Source organism: Homo sapiens, chromosome X, assembly GCF_000001405.40.
Source record: "Homo sapiens chromosome X, GRCh38.p14 Primary Assembly".
NCBI classification, from domain to species: Eukaryota; Metazoa; Chordata; class Mammalia; order Primates; family Hominidae; genus Homo; species Homo sapiens.
The window spans coordinates 21,872,316-21,888,656 of NC_000023.11; the positions used below are offsets into that span (position 1 = coordinate 21,872,316).

Here is a 16,341-nt window from a genome sequence, read left to right on the forward strand (position 1 = left end):
TATCCTTTTCCTGACAGACAGACTGTAAATAAAAATTTTCCCTGAAACACTCAGAAACTCTCTTCTTATTAACTGTTTGAGTATTTCACTGTTGTGGATCATGTGCTACATTTTGGAGGTATTTGTTTAAATACCTAAAGCAGATATTACTCTTTTTATACTACAATCAATCCAGAAGTAATTCTTTTTTTTTTTTTTCAAGCCCTGGGCTGTCCCAGCCCAAGAGTAATTCTTCAATATCTATTTTGTCTCAGTATACATGTTTATTTTACATGATTACTATATCTGATAAATCTGTGCCTCTATTTAAGCTTTTGAAAATGGAGTATGTATACTTAGCCAGTTTAAAGGAGTATTAATGTCTGTAAATATCACTTAAAATACATACTATGGCTGGTCCAAATGCAGTTGTGCTTACAATTAATTGAACACAACCAGTTACAGAATTCTTTGTTCCTTCTCTATTCCCACTACATCACTTGACTAGCCTTAAAAAAAAAATACATACTAGATTAATTTTGATGGCAGGCTTAGCCCCTGGGTCTGTGGACATTTAAGAAAGCTATGGATTGATGGTATTTTATATGTTTCTAGGTAACTTCGTTATCCTTCATTGTAAGTAGGAGTGAAAGATATGGTCAGATATACTATTACAGAGTGTCCAATGATCCAAAAGTTATTCATGTTCAATTTAGAGTAGAATTCAGTACACATAACTAAATTCTAGGAATTTATACCATTTCAGAGCAATAAAGCCACCTAGGAAAGATCACACCCTGGAAGTGCTTGTAAACCATCTCCACCAATTATCTCTAGCCTCTTATTTCATATCCTGTCTCTCTCAGATGCAGTATTAGATTTAAACTCTTTGAAGGTTAAACGGCCTTTTGGGGAAACTCCAAGAAGAACACTGAGTGAGGGCTTAGAGCCCTTTGTACCTGGAATAGATCTCTGGTCTTATCTGGGTCAGAACAGAAAAACATACACTCTTCCCCCATTCATATTGAAGCCTCTGCTTTTAGGGTTGCTGGCTGTCCATACACCACTCAGTGATTTAAATAGAACTGAAAGTTTTAGACAATAACTAGTATGGCTCTTTTGGGGGACTATTTTCCTAGCAAGTACTTTGTATTTTCACTCTTTATTTTGAGGGAGGCACTCCTTATTTCATATATGCATAAAGCTAAATTCCTTTTTGATGAAAGCATTGTCTTGAGTAAGAAAGGCTGTCCTTAGCAAGTCCAGCATTTGAACTACATTTTAAGGAGCACGAGACAGAATGCTAAGGCAACTCTGCTTAAAATGAAGCTGTGAGCCCAGACTCAGGCATCCACCGTGAACAGTTTACATTCCTGTTCAAAGGAGGTGAGGGTTTATGCCCTTACCTGCCTGGCAACAGAAATATTAAACTGTCTTACGTATCTTTAACTGGAATGAGAGAAGACCCTTCTTGACCCAGTTTAAGATAATAAAAGGAAAACTCTGGGAATCTTTTCAACAAACTTTGAGAACTCAGATTTTTTTTATGCCCAAATTGCTCTAATATTTGAAAAGCAAAAAGACCTTTTTTTGTTATTATGAGCATCAAGTTATGGTCCAAGGTTTCTTTGCTATCCTAAATTGAAGAGTAAGAGTGTGTATATAAGTATATATGTGTGTGTCTGTGTGTGTGTGTGTGTGTGTGTGTATATATATATATATATACTTTTTTTTTTTTTTTTTTGAGATGGAGTCTCACTCTGTCGCCCAGGCTAGAGTGCAGTGGCGCGATCTCAGCTCACAGCAACCTCTGCCTCCCTGGTTCAAGCAATTCTCATGCCTCAGCCTCCCGAGTAGCTGGGATTACAGGTGTGTGCCACCAAGCCCGGCTAATTTTTTTGTATTTTTTTAGTAGAGACAGGGTTTCACCATGTTGGCCAGGCTGTTCTCAAACTCCTGACCTCAGGTGATCCCCCCGCCTCGGCCTCCCAAAGTGCTGGGATTACAGGGGTGAGCCACCACACCCAGCCTCGTGTGTGTGTGTGTGTTTAATTTTACTACTTGTTACTAGGCAATGATGGCATAAAGTCAGCAACAGAACTGAGAATAAATAGGCTTGCTTCCCTGTGTTGGAGCCCTAGCTATGTGTTATATATTTAATAAGCTAGGGTAAGAAAATTGTTCAGTTCATATTAGAGATACAGAAAGTGGTAAGCACTGTGAACTAGAGACTGAAAAAATCTCTTCTCTCCAGCTTTATTCCACAGTCACCTCTGGTCTAGACCATTCTTTGTAGACTGGACTATTTCTGTGACTATCTTCGGGCTCATCTTAGGGTACATTCAAAATATACAAGTTCTCCCTGTAGTAACATTATGAAACTTTTCTGGCCTTAAATTTTTCTGATTGTCTCCCACACTGGGGATATTTAAAGGACAATTCTAATCTTCTAGAGTTAAATTGAACCCATAAATTCCCCTGGGGACATCCTATTGCAATCTTGAATATTAGTTCCAAAGTAGAATTGTATTGGCCTCTCGTAATTAATAAAAATACATGAATGTAAAAATTATCTGTGTTGCACCCCCTCATCTTATAGATTAAGAATCAAGTCACAGAAATTGGTTGAGTAACTTGTTCTTTATGTGACCCAGTAGAAAAGATTCTAAAATTAACTGTTTAAGCCTATAACTTTTTAAAATAGTGATAGAGAAATATCAAGTTTACTTCTCACATGCAAACAAAATATTTCACTCTTTATTGGAAAATTCAGTATGTTAGGAGGTACTTAATCTTGTCAGGGAGGCCACAGCCATGGATTTCTGTTTTGCTTGGAATAAATGCCAGAGGAAGAAAAAACCAGAGATCACAAATTGGTGGCAGCCTCCAGGCCAAATCCAGCCTTAGCAGATGTATTTGCTTTGGCTTGCCCAGTGTTTTTAAATTTTTAATTGGCTGCCAATGTTTAAACTTCAACAGGCTTCACATGAAGGTTCAGATTTCTGGTTTCTGTTGGGACAAAATGGAAGATCTGTCGATTCTGGGCCCCAAATTGAGTGGCCTGGCTGCTAACCCCCTAGAACAGGCCATGTATTTTCTAGTTCCTCACAGTTCCCACCACTTTGTTTTTTCTGCATATGATCCACTTCATTTATTTGGTACCAGCTTGGCCCATTTAAGCATTTATATTAGCAAACATGCCGTATCATTAGCGATAATAAATTCCTGACTTCCAATTCTGTATTGTACCCAGTCCTCTTAAGAAAAGTTAGTAATTAAGCATCAGCTGTAAACATTTTAAGATCATTACTGATGCAAAGGCAAATCGGGTATAACATCATTTATGTATTCAGTGTATATTGAGTAATCCACCTTATATAAGACACTGAGAAACCTTTCCCTCAGGGAGCTCAAAGTTGAGTCAGAAAAACAGACCATACCCACATTATTACAGTACAAGTTTAAATTTAAGTAATGACAGGCAATACTGGGAAATGATAACAGTCTTGACTGAGAAGATGAAGGCAGGTTTCACAGCATCAGCCCTTGAACTGGCCGTCAACAGTGAGTTTACTTTTAGGACGTCAAGATGGACATGGACCTCAGCACCATAGAATAGAAGGTGGTCAAGGAACTGCCAGTAATTCAGTTTAGGAAGAGAATCATATGAGATAAGGTAGTTTAAAAGTGAGAAGGAATTAGTCTGCACTCAAGAGGGAATAGGTAAGGAGAAAAATGAGGAGGAGGTAAAAATCCATGGGACTTGGCAATCTGATCAAAGAGAATACTGAGGGTTTTAGCTTGGATTGATTTTTCTAAAGAATTCCTAAACAACTTTTTACCTTATACTTTACCATTAGGGCTGACAGATGATTATAGGCTAGCATTTGTCTGTGTCATTAGATGCTCACAGTCTCCTTTAATATTTTAAATACTGCTCCTCACTCAAAATTAAATACCCATTCAGTTATGATAAGAAGACAGAACAGGCCAGCTCAGTGGCTCATGCCTGTAATCCCAGCACTTTGGGAGGCCCAGGTGGGTGGATCACTTGAGGCCAGGAGTTCAAGACCAGCCTGGCCAACATGGTGAAACCCCATTGCTACTAAAAATACAAAAAAATTAGCTGGGCATGGTGGCACGTGCCTGTAATCTCAGCTACTCAGAAGGCTGAGGCGGGAGAATCACTTGAACCGGGAGGCAGAGGTTGCAGTGAGCCAAGATCACGCCACTATACTCCAGCCTGGGTGACAGAGTGAGACTCTGTCTCAAAAAAAAAAAAAAGAAAACAGAACAAAGAACAAAATTACCCATACAGCCAATCACCAGTTAGTTTCCTTTGCCTCTGTTTGGTTCTTTGCTATGTTTTGGCCAAGGAGATAGAGCGACAGTGTATGCCTAGGGGAAATCCAGTATAACCAATACAAAGATGTCTTCCTCAAACAATAGAGTAAAACAAAACAAAAAACTATTTAAAAACAAGCAAGCAAAAACTTTGGCTGAAATACAAAATTTTTATAAAATTAAAATTACATTGCATATCAACTAAGTTTTTCATGCTAAGTGCTCCTGAAAGCACTCTTGTAATAGAAAAGCTTTTTGTAGTCCTGAGAAACAGGGATAATTTGGCGCTTGAGTCTATTTTCATCAGCACATCTGAGTATGGTAGTTTATATTCAAGATTCACATTTAATTGGTCCTTGCCACCCATAAATTTATACTTTACCAGTTTGATGTGTTGGAATGCAGCAAACATTCCTAAATAAATACATGAAATCATTTTTTGTCCCACCTTATAAGTGAAGTAGATTCCTTATTCTGCTCCCAAATAAAGCAGTCTACTAAAGAACTTTAAAAAATAAATAAGCCAGGCGCAATAGCTCACGCCTGTAATCTCAGCACTTTGGGAGGCCGAGGTGGGCAGATCACTTGAGGTCAGGAGTTCGAGACCAGCCTGGCCAACATGGTGAAACCCCATGTCTACTAAAAATACAAAAATTAGCCGGGTGCAGTGGCGCATGCCTGTAGTCCCAGCTACTCAGGAGGCTGAGGCAGGAGAATTGCTTGAGCCCAGGAGGTGGAGGTTACAGTGAGCAGAGATCGTGCCACTGTACTCCAGCCTGGGTGACAGAGCGAGACTCTATCTAAATAAATAAATGGAATGAACAGTTGCCCCATTGCTGTTGTCTTCCAAAAATGGTAACTGGATTACTGGTGTACAGGCGGGTATGTGCACATCTGTGGGTCAAATTGGGCATCTCTGGTTCTCTAGGGGGAGCCCCAAAGTAAGCCTGGGGTAGAATCGGTATTTGGATATAATGGGGATGTCTTAGGCAACCTCTGGCCCCCTCTGTTTACCAGCACCACAGTGCAGGGGTTCAGCAGTAATGTTGGATCATTGGCATTCAGGCACATAATAGTAGTTCATTAAATGTTTGTGCTTGACCAGCCAGACTTATTATTGTGAAACCTACTGAGACACTGCAACTCCGGCTTTATGGGTAGCTCAGTTTATATGAGGACAACTAACCTAGGGTAACTGCTGCTTCATGATTTAAAATTGAATGGATCTCTTTTGGTAATGTAAAATCAAACTGCAGCAAGTAGCCCTCAAGCTGAACTCTGAATTATACAGTTGCTTCTAAATTCATATGCCATTTTACTTATTCTTTTTGTCTTAAAGGCATTTTTTGTTACAAATGTATTTTTATATAAGAGACTCTAATAAACAGTGTATTTCTCTTTAGCATACAAACGACTAGATGGTTCAACTGAATGCTGTAACAATCACAGCCTCACAGATGTGTGCTTTTCCTACAGAAATAATTTTAATAAGCGTTTGGTAAGTTGTCCCTGAAGCAGTCTTGCTTGTCTGATATAATTACTAAAAAATAAGCATATAGAGCTAAAATGGAATCTATGGAAACTTCTCTCTTTTGCTCTATTTGTATCATTTTATTAAAATCTCTACATTTCACATGTCACATTTCATCTGAAAATCTTTAAAAATTTATAGTGATAATATCTTATTTGACCCAAATGGGGTACTTGAATCTATTTTATAGTAGATGCACATAAATGGCATTTCTTTTATATGAACCTCATTCCTGATATGCTAGGTGACATGAAAAATATTGAAGGAATGTAACTTAGGTTTTTCTTAATCATTTTTAATATTGACTGATTAATATTTTATTTATAGCATACATGTCTTCCTGCCCGGAAAGCAGTTGAAGCAACTCAAGTTTGCAGAACCAATAAAGACTGTAAAAAAAGCTCAAGTTCAAGTTTCTGTATAATACCTTCTTTGGAAACTCACACTCGCTTAATAAAAGTAAAACACCCACCTCAGATTGATATGTTATACGTAGGACATCCTCTGCATCTTCACTACACAGGTGAGTATTTTTGTGGTAGACCCTTAGAAAATCATTAAGATCACATATAGTCTCAGTGGTAGAGACTCACTACAAATCCTTGAATTAATACATTTATTATAAATTTGATCATTTATCAAAGTCTTGTTAACTTGTTCTTAAGCATTAAGTGAAAATTATGCAGTAGGAAAATAATCTGAATTTATAAAGTAAGGTGGAGCTGAATCCATGCCTGCCTATGGAGAGTGACACATTTTTCCTTCCCTACCATTTATGCCCAGGTCAAATAGGTGATCTCTCAGATGTCCTCTGAGAGTTTATTAAATTTATACAAGCTCCCCAAAACAGGCAAGAGCAACATACCCTAGAGAATGCCAGGATGCATGGGGATGTAACTGTAATTTATGTGTGACACATGACTTTCATATGAATATACTTTCAAAACTGGGCCAGCATAATCATTTTAGCAGTGGCAGCATCATTGGACTAAGTTCTTTATGGCTAAAGATCATGTAGTCTAACTCATTTTGTTGTACAAGATTTTTAAAATAGTTTACCATGCGATTTACCCATTAAAGTTTACAGTTCAGTGGGGTTTTGTTTGTTTGTTTGTTTTTGTTTTGTTTTGAGACAGATTCTCACTCTGTCGCCCAGACTGGAATGCAGTGGCTCAATCTTGGCTCACTGCAACCTCCACACCTCGGGCTCAAGTGATCCTCCCACCTCAGCCTCCCAAGTAGCTGGGACTACAGACGTGTTCCACTGTGCTGGGCTAATTTTTTGGGTTTTGTAGAGACGGAGTCTCACTTTGTTACCCAGGCTGATCTCAAACTCCTGAGCTCAAGCAATTCTCCCTCCTCAGCCTCCAAAAGTGCTGGGATTACAGGCAAGAGGCACTGTGCCCGGCCCAGTGATTTTTAATATATTGAGTTGTGCAACCATTACCACAAGCTAGCTGCAGAATATTTTCATCACCCCAAAAAGAAACTCCATAACCATTAAGTAGTCACTCCCTGTATCTCCCCAACACCCCCAGCCCTTGGCAATCTCCAATCTACTTTCTGTTTCTATAAATTTGCCTGTTCTTGTCATTTCATATAAATGGAATATTTTATGACTAGCTTCTTTGATGTAGCTTAATGTTTTCAAGGTTTATCTGTGTTGTGGCATGAATTAGTACTTCATTCTTTTTAAGGCCAAATGATATTCCTTTGTATGGATAGACCACATTTTCTTTATTCATTCATAGTTAATGGATATGTGGGTTTTATGTTATTCTTTTTTTTTTTTTTTTTTTTTGAGACGGAGTTTCGCTCTTGTTGCCCAGCCTGGAGTGCAATGGCGCAATCTCGGCTCACTGCAGCCTCTGCCTCCCGGGTTCAAGCAATTCTCCTGCCTCAGCCTCCAGAGTAGCTGGGATTACAGGTGCCCACCACCACGCCCAGCTAATGTTTGGTATTTTTGGTAGAGACAGGGTTTCACCATATTGGTCAGGCTGGTCTCAAACTCCTGACTTCAGGTGATCTGCCCGCCTTGGTCTCCCAAAGTGCTGGGATTACAGCGTGAGGCACCGCACCCAGCCTATGTCACTCTTTAAAAGACTCTCTCATTGCTCCATAGTCATATCCTGAGATACAACCGAGGTCATTTTTCTTATCTATTAGTTTGACACTAAATTACTGTAGACTGTAACTATGAAATAAAACCTCAACAAATGAATAAATGTCCCTAGTGGGGGTAATTCAGGAATGTGTACTGTGAGTTCTGACTAATTACAGGATAGTTTTAAAATGTTTTGAACAAAAACAGGATTATGGAATCCACAGAGTAGATGAGACTTTAAATCCCCTCATCTTAATCCTTGGTTTAGCCATGAAGAAAAAAAAAAGACCTGAAAGAGGTTAAGTAGTATAATAGTAGGAGTAAATGTAATTTTAAGGTTATACCTCTTTGAAAGGGTAAGGACTCTTAATGTAAATTTCTTACTCTCGCCTCAAAATGTAAGTACACACTGGGACGTATTTTTTCATTCTGCTGTTTTTATTAGATGTTCTAGAAGTATTGATTGCTTTTATATATGAGGTATATGGCCTGCATATGTTTAGGAAGGGCTTTCTCAATCAGTTTAATCTGCTAGCCCAATTTTTAACCATATGGTAGAATTCATAATGCTGTTGATTCTCTGGTATGAATAATATTTATTATTCCTTATTTTTCTTTTTCAGTGAGCATCACCAGTTTTATCCCACGTTTTAACTTTCTAAGCATAGATCTGCCAGTGGTTGTGGAGACATTTGTCAAGTATCCTTTCTGGTGTGAAACATGTTTTAAAAGTGTGTTACTTGGATCTTGATCAATTTTACCTTGAATACAGCATTACAAATATAGACCTCACAAGTATCACTTAATTGCTAACAACTAAAAAAGAGTCTTGAAAGATGAAAAAGATCAGATTGTACCCAGGAGGGAAGAAGTCAGAGGAGAAAGATTAATCAGAGTGAGAAAGGTTTAGATGTAGAAGGGAAAGAACCCAGAATACAAATTGAGAATTGAATTTACAAGTCTAAAACATTTTAGTAAGTTTATAAAGGATGGAAGCTTCAGTTACTACTGAGGTAATGAATTCTGCCCCATCCGAGATTGTTAGTTCTGACCAAATAGAGAATGTAATCGCATAACCAGGAATTATGTAAATCCCAGGGAGGAATGCACAAGAAAGATCGAGCTGGTTTCAACTACTAAGATAGCAATTCAGAGGGCCAAATCTTATTGTGGTCTTTCGCATATTATGATTGCACATAAAAGATGAATTTTTTCATATTAATTATTATGCAGAATTGAATTACTGGAAAATTGTGGAAGAGTTCTTTATTTTTGTCGCTTTTAAATTTTTTAATGTCGTTCCTCAATTATTTAAATTAAAAAAAGAAATGGAAAACAAATGAGCAGTTATTTTTAAAAAATGTGTTTAATCAAGATTGTGGCCAGGCGCGGTGGCTCACACCTGTAATCCCAGCACTTTGGGAGGCCGAGGCAGGTGGATCACCTGAGATCAGGAGTTCAAGACCAGCCTGACCAATATGGCGAAACCCCATCTCTACTAAAAACACAAAAATTAGCCGGGTGTCTTGGCATGCACCTGTAGTCCCAGCTACTCAGGAGGTTGAGACAGGAGAATCGCTTGAACCCGGGAGGCAGAGGTTGCAGTGAGCCAAGATCGCTCCACTGCACTCCAGCCTGGGCGACAGAGCTAGACTCCATCTCAACAACAACAACAAAAAAGATTGTACTTTATAGACTCTGCAGCTTTGTCACAAAGAGACTTATGCTATAACCTTACAGAGGGTAGTAAAATAAAGTAGGCTTCAAGGACCAAAGTCTTTGTTTCCTAATATAAAGTAATACTTTGTAAGGCCCAAAGAGTAATTTTCCCCTTATTTCTTATTCCTTCCACATTCCTTTCCCTGTTGTATCATTAAAGGATTAGAAAGACTTAGTCTTCCTACGAGTTCATTATAGATTGGCTTAGTTTATAAGTGGTTGGCCTTTATTTTTCTAGTCAAGGTTTTTGAACTTTGAAATAATATAAACTCATTTTTTTTAAGTAGTAGAGATCTAAGAAGGAATGGCAGAGATTTAAAGAAAGTAGAGAAGTCAAGTGTAATCTCTAATTCAGTCACAGTAAAATATCTTCTGACTCATAGAAATATGGTTTCTACTCAGACCTCTCACAGTTGGTTCCTTAACTGATTTTAACCCAGGTACCTGATTTCCCTCTCAGGAGCTCTGGCTATTGTTAATGCAGTACCCTGCTTTGCTTTGGATGGACAATGGATTCTAAACTCTTTCTTGGATGCCACCCTTACCTCAGTGATTGGAGACAATGATGTCAAAGATCTAATAGGGTTTTTCATCTTGCTGGGTGGCAGTGTACTTTTGGCTGCCAATGTGACCCTGGGACTCTGGATGGTTACAGCACGGTAATGTTTGCACTCATCTGACAGAATCCCTGAGTTACAGTATACAGCTATGTGGTAATATTCATTGCCATTGAAATTCTTACTTGGTATGAAATATAAAGTGTTTCCTTAAAATTACATCTTAGCCAACAACCCTGAGCTCCTCCCATATCCAGAGTACCCAAACTCTGTGGTAGAAGATAAGCAGAAGAAATGAAAGGCATAGTCCCTGACTATATTCTAATTTAGGACTGAATGTACCCAGATGCTTGTGGAATAATATCTAAGCAAGTGCAAATTCATGTAATACCGTTTTGTCTGATTACATATTGTGTTGAAATAGTATAAAGGAGAACAGAACTGGGTGGAATTAATTGGGAAAAACTTCTTACAAAAGCATCATTAATCAAAATTTGAAGGAGACCAGACTTTGGCCAAGTGGAAGGATGACCATTGTCTTGGCCTGTATCTCTTGTCCTTTGTCTTGTTTGAAAAGTATTTTAAAACTTAATGGTGTATTATTTTGTGCTCTGAAAGCTGAGGTCTGATTACAATTAGTAAAATTCTATAGAAGAATCTGCTGACGTGAAAGGGAAAAATCTTTGTCAAATGATACCAAATAAATGAACAAAACAGGAAGTAGGGCCTATGATATCGTGAGACATGTTTTGCCCCACAAGAGTTGCATCTTTTATAAGGTGTCTCTGCCCCCTCATAAAGCAGCACTAGCTTTGACATCCACGGTGAGCTGCAGGAAGCATCACACACCAGCAGCATGTGAGCAGAGGGAGGCAGTTGGGGTTGAACTTCGGAACTAGGCCGGGTCTCCTGACAGATCACAAGACACCCCAGAGGATCTTCAGCAGTCCTACTTCCCATTCTCTATAGAGCTTTGAAGCTTGGAACCCTTCCAGGGTAAACATTTTCTCTTGTGCTGCTCAGGACATCTGGGGCCTAGCTCCTGGGTTCCTGTCTCCAAGAAGCAATGACCTTAAACTCTGAGCCATACTCTGTCCTCACCAGCGGCTCCCATGTTTTTCTGTGTCAGGTTATTAAGTACCTAGTCCTTGTTTTCTGTCTCTCTCCTAAGCTACCTCTCTGGGTCCACAGAAGACTTGGTAGTATAGTGAGAATGGCTATACGTGAGTACAAACGTGGATTTTCCAGGGCTTGGGAACTGATTCTTGAGCCCAGAAGAGCCACGCCTGCTTTGAGGTCTTTTGGAGTGGAGATGCAGCCCTGGGAAATTTGGGGAGTCAGCAGGCCAGTGTGAAGCTATTGGTCCTAGGAGTATATGAGCTTGCTGTTTCTTTGATGGAAAATACATGCTTCTCTTGTATACTCAGAAGTGACTAAGGGCAATAACTCATTAATAGCCATCTATCCAACTTCTTTACTGAGTGATGTATTCCATGGGGTTACCTTTTTCAGATTATTGAGTTGCTCTGTAAGCACTAAAACTTTTTAATCATTTTTAAGAAACTTTTTAGATTGTATTACAAATTTGCCTTAACAGTAATTAGATGTTGAATATAATTTTAACATTTTATTAATGACTTGGGTCATCAGTTAATACCAGTACTAAAACCATACGAATTATTGGTTTATTCCAGAAAATACAGTATTTGTTCTATTTTTAGGTAGACAATCATTTGGGATCAGAGTACATTAGCATAGTAATGCTCAGTCAGACCTGTTCAAGTAGTAGAGCTTGGAGAATGCCATGAAATACTTATATAATTAATTTGATTGCATGAACTAAGCAATTTTACTAATGAAAAGGTTGTATATGTGCAAGTCACTTTTTTAAAAACCAAGAAAAAACTTTAATAGAGGAAATCTTATTCATTAATTTATTTTTCTGAGTAAAAAAACGAAACCCAAATCTCATTTTATTTCAACTGTTAAACATTTTGATCTGTTGACCCATAGGATCAGGATTTGGGAACCACTTTACTAGGAAAGAGCAGATCAGTACCATTTGTATAAAACCGGCCTCATTATGTAAGAAAGAAAATGTTACGTGTTTTCTTCTTTAGCTTGGTTGTGGGCACTTCTACAGCAAGGACCATATCATATTCATCTTTGCATCCCTGGCACAGTGCATGAGACATAAGTACTTAATAAATGCAGTTGAATGGATAATGATTAGTGTTATTTATGGATTAGAAAAAGCATGTTTCTATTTAAGTAAGCTGTAAAAAGTATTATTGAATATTTACTGTAAATATATGTTCACATAAAAAAATAACTTGGAGGGTCTTTGTGTCCCTGGCATATTATCATCTTCATGGAAAGAATCCACTGTGGTTTCTGTAGAGTGATTGGAAAAATGGATTATTTTGAGGATTGAAGAAAGTGTTCTTTCTGCGTTGTCACTTTGTTCAACAGTAAAACTTTATTCTCAGTGTTCCTACTCTGCATTGTTTACATTTTTGACAGTTTTTTTTAATCACCTACAATCTGTAAAGAATGTATATATTCTTTTCAGCATCTCAGTTTGAAAAGACATGCAGTTAAACTTGACCTTTTGATAATCGCTCTTACAGGTCATTGTCTGTTCTAACAGCAAATTGTAAACATGTGCTTCATAGATATTGTGGCTCTCAGTCATCACTTTGTCCTATGGTATTTATTGAATGTTCACATACTAATGGTGCACAGGTGTTTTTTTCTATAAATCTTCTGACTGTCCTGTAATTCATTCTTAAGCTTTAACTTGAAGGTATCGTAATTGCCGGCATTTGATGTTTAGCAATAAAAGAATAAATGTGTACCAGCATTTTATGTTTATCATCGTCTATGTGTTGTCTTTTTTGAAACTCTTTTCTATCAAAATTGTTCCTATTACATAAAGCAAGATCTTAATCATTTTTAAATTCTTGATTCTAGAACCAGCCTTCAGTTTTCATTCGTATAATCTATACCTGAAAGTCGTTGCAGGCCTTGAAAATAAGTCTTTTAAATGAGGCTCCTGTGCACTCGCTACTGTCTTGGAAATGGCTGGTTTATGGATAAAGAAAGAGGACTATCATGTTTCCTTTCATTACTGTGTCTGACAGAAAAGTCTGCTGTCAGTTAGGAATTCTTGAAAGAGAATGTTTTAACTATGGCATTTGGTTCTTCTTGACCTTTTGCCCTAGTGCTTCCTCCCATACTCTCTCTCTCTCTTTCTCTCTCTGGTAGTAAGGGCCAGATAAAATAGGCTAGGAATGTAGCCCAGTTTTTGACTGGTTAGCTTCATTCCACTACTTCTTGCCTCTGATCCCATTACACTACAGTTAAGAGCCACAAGACTAGATGACTGATTAAGCCACTTTTTAACAGCTTTATTGAGATATAATTAAATACTATCAAATTCTCTCTTTATGTGTTAACTTTGAAGTATTTAATTCCATGTAAACTATTTTTCTCTTAATGTCGGATCAAACAGTATGCATATGCTTTCGTATAATCTAACTTTTTAAGTAAATGTGCATGTGATAAAAGACTGGGGGGGAATGTGTTTTAGTTATTTCACAACTTTTTTAACTCTGGAATGGTTTTCAGCAACGTAATAGAGTTGAATAACAGTTATTTTTAAGCATGTAAATATACTTTCTTTGAGACAATAAGCCTTTTTAATCAGTGCATTTGCAAGCTACTCTTGCTGTTGGGGTCATACTAATTTGAATAATCCATTGTATATTTTATCAGACCATGACATATGAATTCAATGAAAGGAAACGCCTCTGTTTCAGAACTCAGTGCTACAATAAGTTATACTTGGGGTGGAGGTAGGAAAAAAATGGCTAATTACGAAGCAGGTTATATTGTATAATTTAATTTTCCATTAAAGGGAGGAAAAAACACCCATATATGTTAGTTTTATTTAGCTAAAGATTGATGGATAGTCAATAATTGTCCCTTCTTATTAACTGAATGCTTCTCAAACTTTTCTACTGACATGCTCCTGACACTGTAGAGGAGGGAAAACCTAGAAGGATCTAAGAGTAGAACCCTGTAATTGGCTCTCCACAGTATAAAATTGAACTCTCACTTTATCTTAAATTTAGCATCCTATTAATCTAATCAAGCATTCTAAAGCTAATTCTCTTAAAGATATGGAACTCTAAAAGAATTAGACTCTAAGAATATTAAGAATTTCTTCATTTCTAAAACACATTCTGGTTTGTAGACTAGTGACAGTCTATGGTGGTATTTTTGTCCATCCAAAGTGAAATGAGAAAAATAAAGATCGTGTATATTGTCTTTAATTACAAAGTAAACATAATGTTTGTGTAATGTTATAAGGCTTCCTGCTGCCCTTTATCAAAGAGCCCCCCCTTTATTTGGAGTATGGAAACACATACTTGGTTTCCCTTAGCACTGCTAGATTGCCCTCCAAAAATGTCTTTTTGTAACTGACCCTCTTACTGGCAAGGCATGAGGGTTCCATGTTTGCCCACACCCTTGCCTCCATCTGGATTATCTGACTTCCATGTTCTGACAAATCTGTTGGGTTTAAAATGACATTTCAAAAAAAAATAACATTTCATTTTAATTTGCATTTCTTAGATTATTAATAGAGTTGCACATTCATATACTTGTTTAGCCCTTTGGATTTTTCATTCTGCCACTTGCTTATTGATATCCTTTGCCCAGTTTTCTATTGTGTGTGCTAACTTTTTCTGTTTGATCCATAGAAATTTCTTGTATATTCTAGATTGGAGGTCAACAAATTATGGCCTGCAGGCCAAATCTTGCTCACTGCCAATTTTTGTACATAAACTTTTATTGTGTTTTATTGGAACACATTCATTCATGTATTTGATGGCTGCTTTTGTGCTACAATGGCTGAGTTGAGCAGGTGCAACGGAGATCATATAACCAAAAGCCTAAAATATTTGCTATGTTTTACAAATATTCAGAACAACCCATGTTCCAGATATCAGTCTACTTCCAGAACAACCCAAGTCCTAGATATCAATCTCTTGTCCATTGTAGATGCTGCAAATAACTTTTCCCAGTTTGTCACTCGTCAGTAAATTTTATTTATGAGGTTGTTTGTTGAACAATGATCTTTAGTTTAATATAGTAAGATCCCTTAATTTCTTGAGTTATTGTTTGTGTTTTGTGGGTCTTATTGAAAAAGTCCTGTCCTGTCCCAGAGTCACAACAGTATTCGCTTACATTTTCTTCTATTTGCTTTAAAGTTGTACTTTCATGATGAGATCTTTAATTTCTGGAATATATGATATGAGGTAGGGAATCGAGGTTTATTTTTCTATATAGACTTAACTATCCTTAAAATAAACATCATAGTATTTTCTTTTGAAGACTATTATATACAACAGCTTACATAAAGTAGTTAATATGGTGCCTGGGATGCTCAAGTCATTACTGGTATTATGAACTTAAAGTACTTATTTTCAGAATGCAGGATTAGGACTTAATTTGCCCTGAGATCTCAGTGTGTACTGGTGTTAGATGTTGCCTCCTTTTGATATGCCTTCTAGGCTTCCAGTGCCTTCAAGCTGGTTCTGATTGTCCAGAGTATCTTGCAGGCCTTGGCTCTTTTAAGCATTTCTTCCCCCAATCAAAATGGACCAACAATCGCAGTATTTAAGCAAATGGCTAAGGATTTTGCTTCCTGTAACTAGTGAAAATAACCTGTGTTCATGAGTGTATTTGCTGATAGTAACATAGGCCAGCATTTACATCTGGTCTTATGAAAACAGCATATTAACTCAGAAGGAAGCACTATGAGAAACCAATATAGGAGAGAATTCAGGATAGGATGGCCTTTGAAGCCACCAAATCAGACAATAAAAAACTTTCTACTCTGCGCATGGTCTGGGATCTTATATTTCAAAATAATCTGTTTTTTACATGTTCATTTTAATTTGCATTTTGTTGTTGTTAGAAAAGAGGCTAAAGTTTTTAATTTTTTTCGAGACAGGGTCTTGCTCTGTCACCCAGGCTGGAGTGCAGTTGGCACGATCACAGCTCACTACAGCCTTGACCTCCTGGGCTCAAGCAATCCT

The 16,341-nt window shown here is 37.5% G+C and overlaps 1 protein-coding gene across 1 annotated transcript in view, besides 1 other annotated feature; it reads left to right on the forward strand.

Moving 5' to 3' along the window:
- The window catches only part of MBTPS2 (membrane bound transcription factor peptidase, site 2), a 45,807-nt gene extending 32,699 nt beyond the window's left edge, over window positions 1-13,108 (forward strand). Inside the window, exons 8-11 of the mRNA NM_015884.4 lie at window positions 5,727-5,821; window positions 6,182-6,377; window positions 8,582-8,657; window positions 10,118-13,108. Coding sequence (NP_056968.1) covers window positions 5,727-5,821; window positions 6,182-6,377; window positions 8,582-8,657; window positions 10,118-10,340 — 590 coding nt within the window. The 3' untranslated portion in view covers window positions 10,341-13,108. The remainder of the gene's footprint in view (window positions 1-5,726; window positions 5,822-6,181; window positions 6,378-8,581; window positions 8,658-10,117) is intronic.
- Window positions 10,996-11,290: a silencer, noted in NCBI's record as "tiled region #3899; K562 Repressive non-DNase unmatched - State 24:Quies". NCBI's record gives its function as "represses a minimal TATA promoter and a strong SV40 promoter by Sharpr-MPRA in K562 cells {active_cell/tissue: K562}" and the evidence as "EXISTENCE:reporter gene assay evidence [ECO:0000049][PMID:27701403]".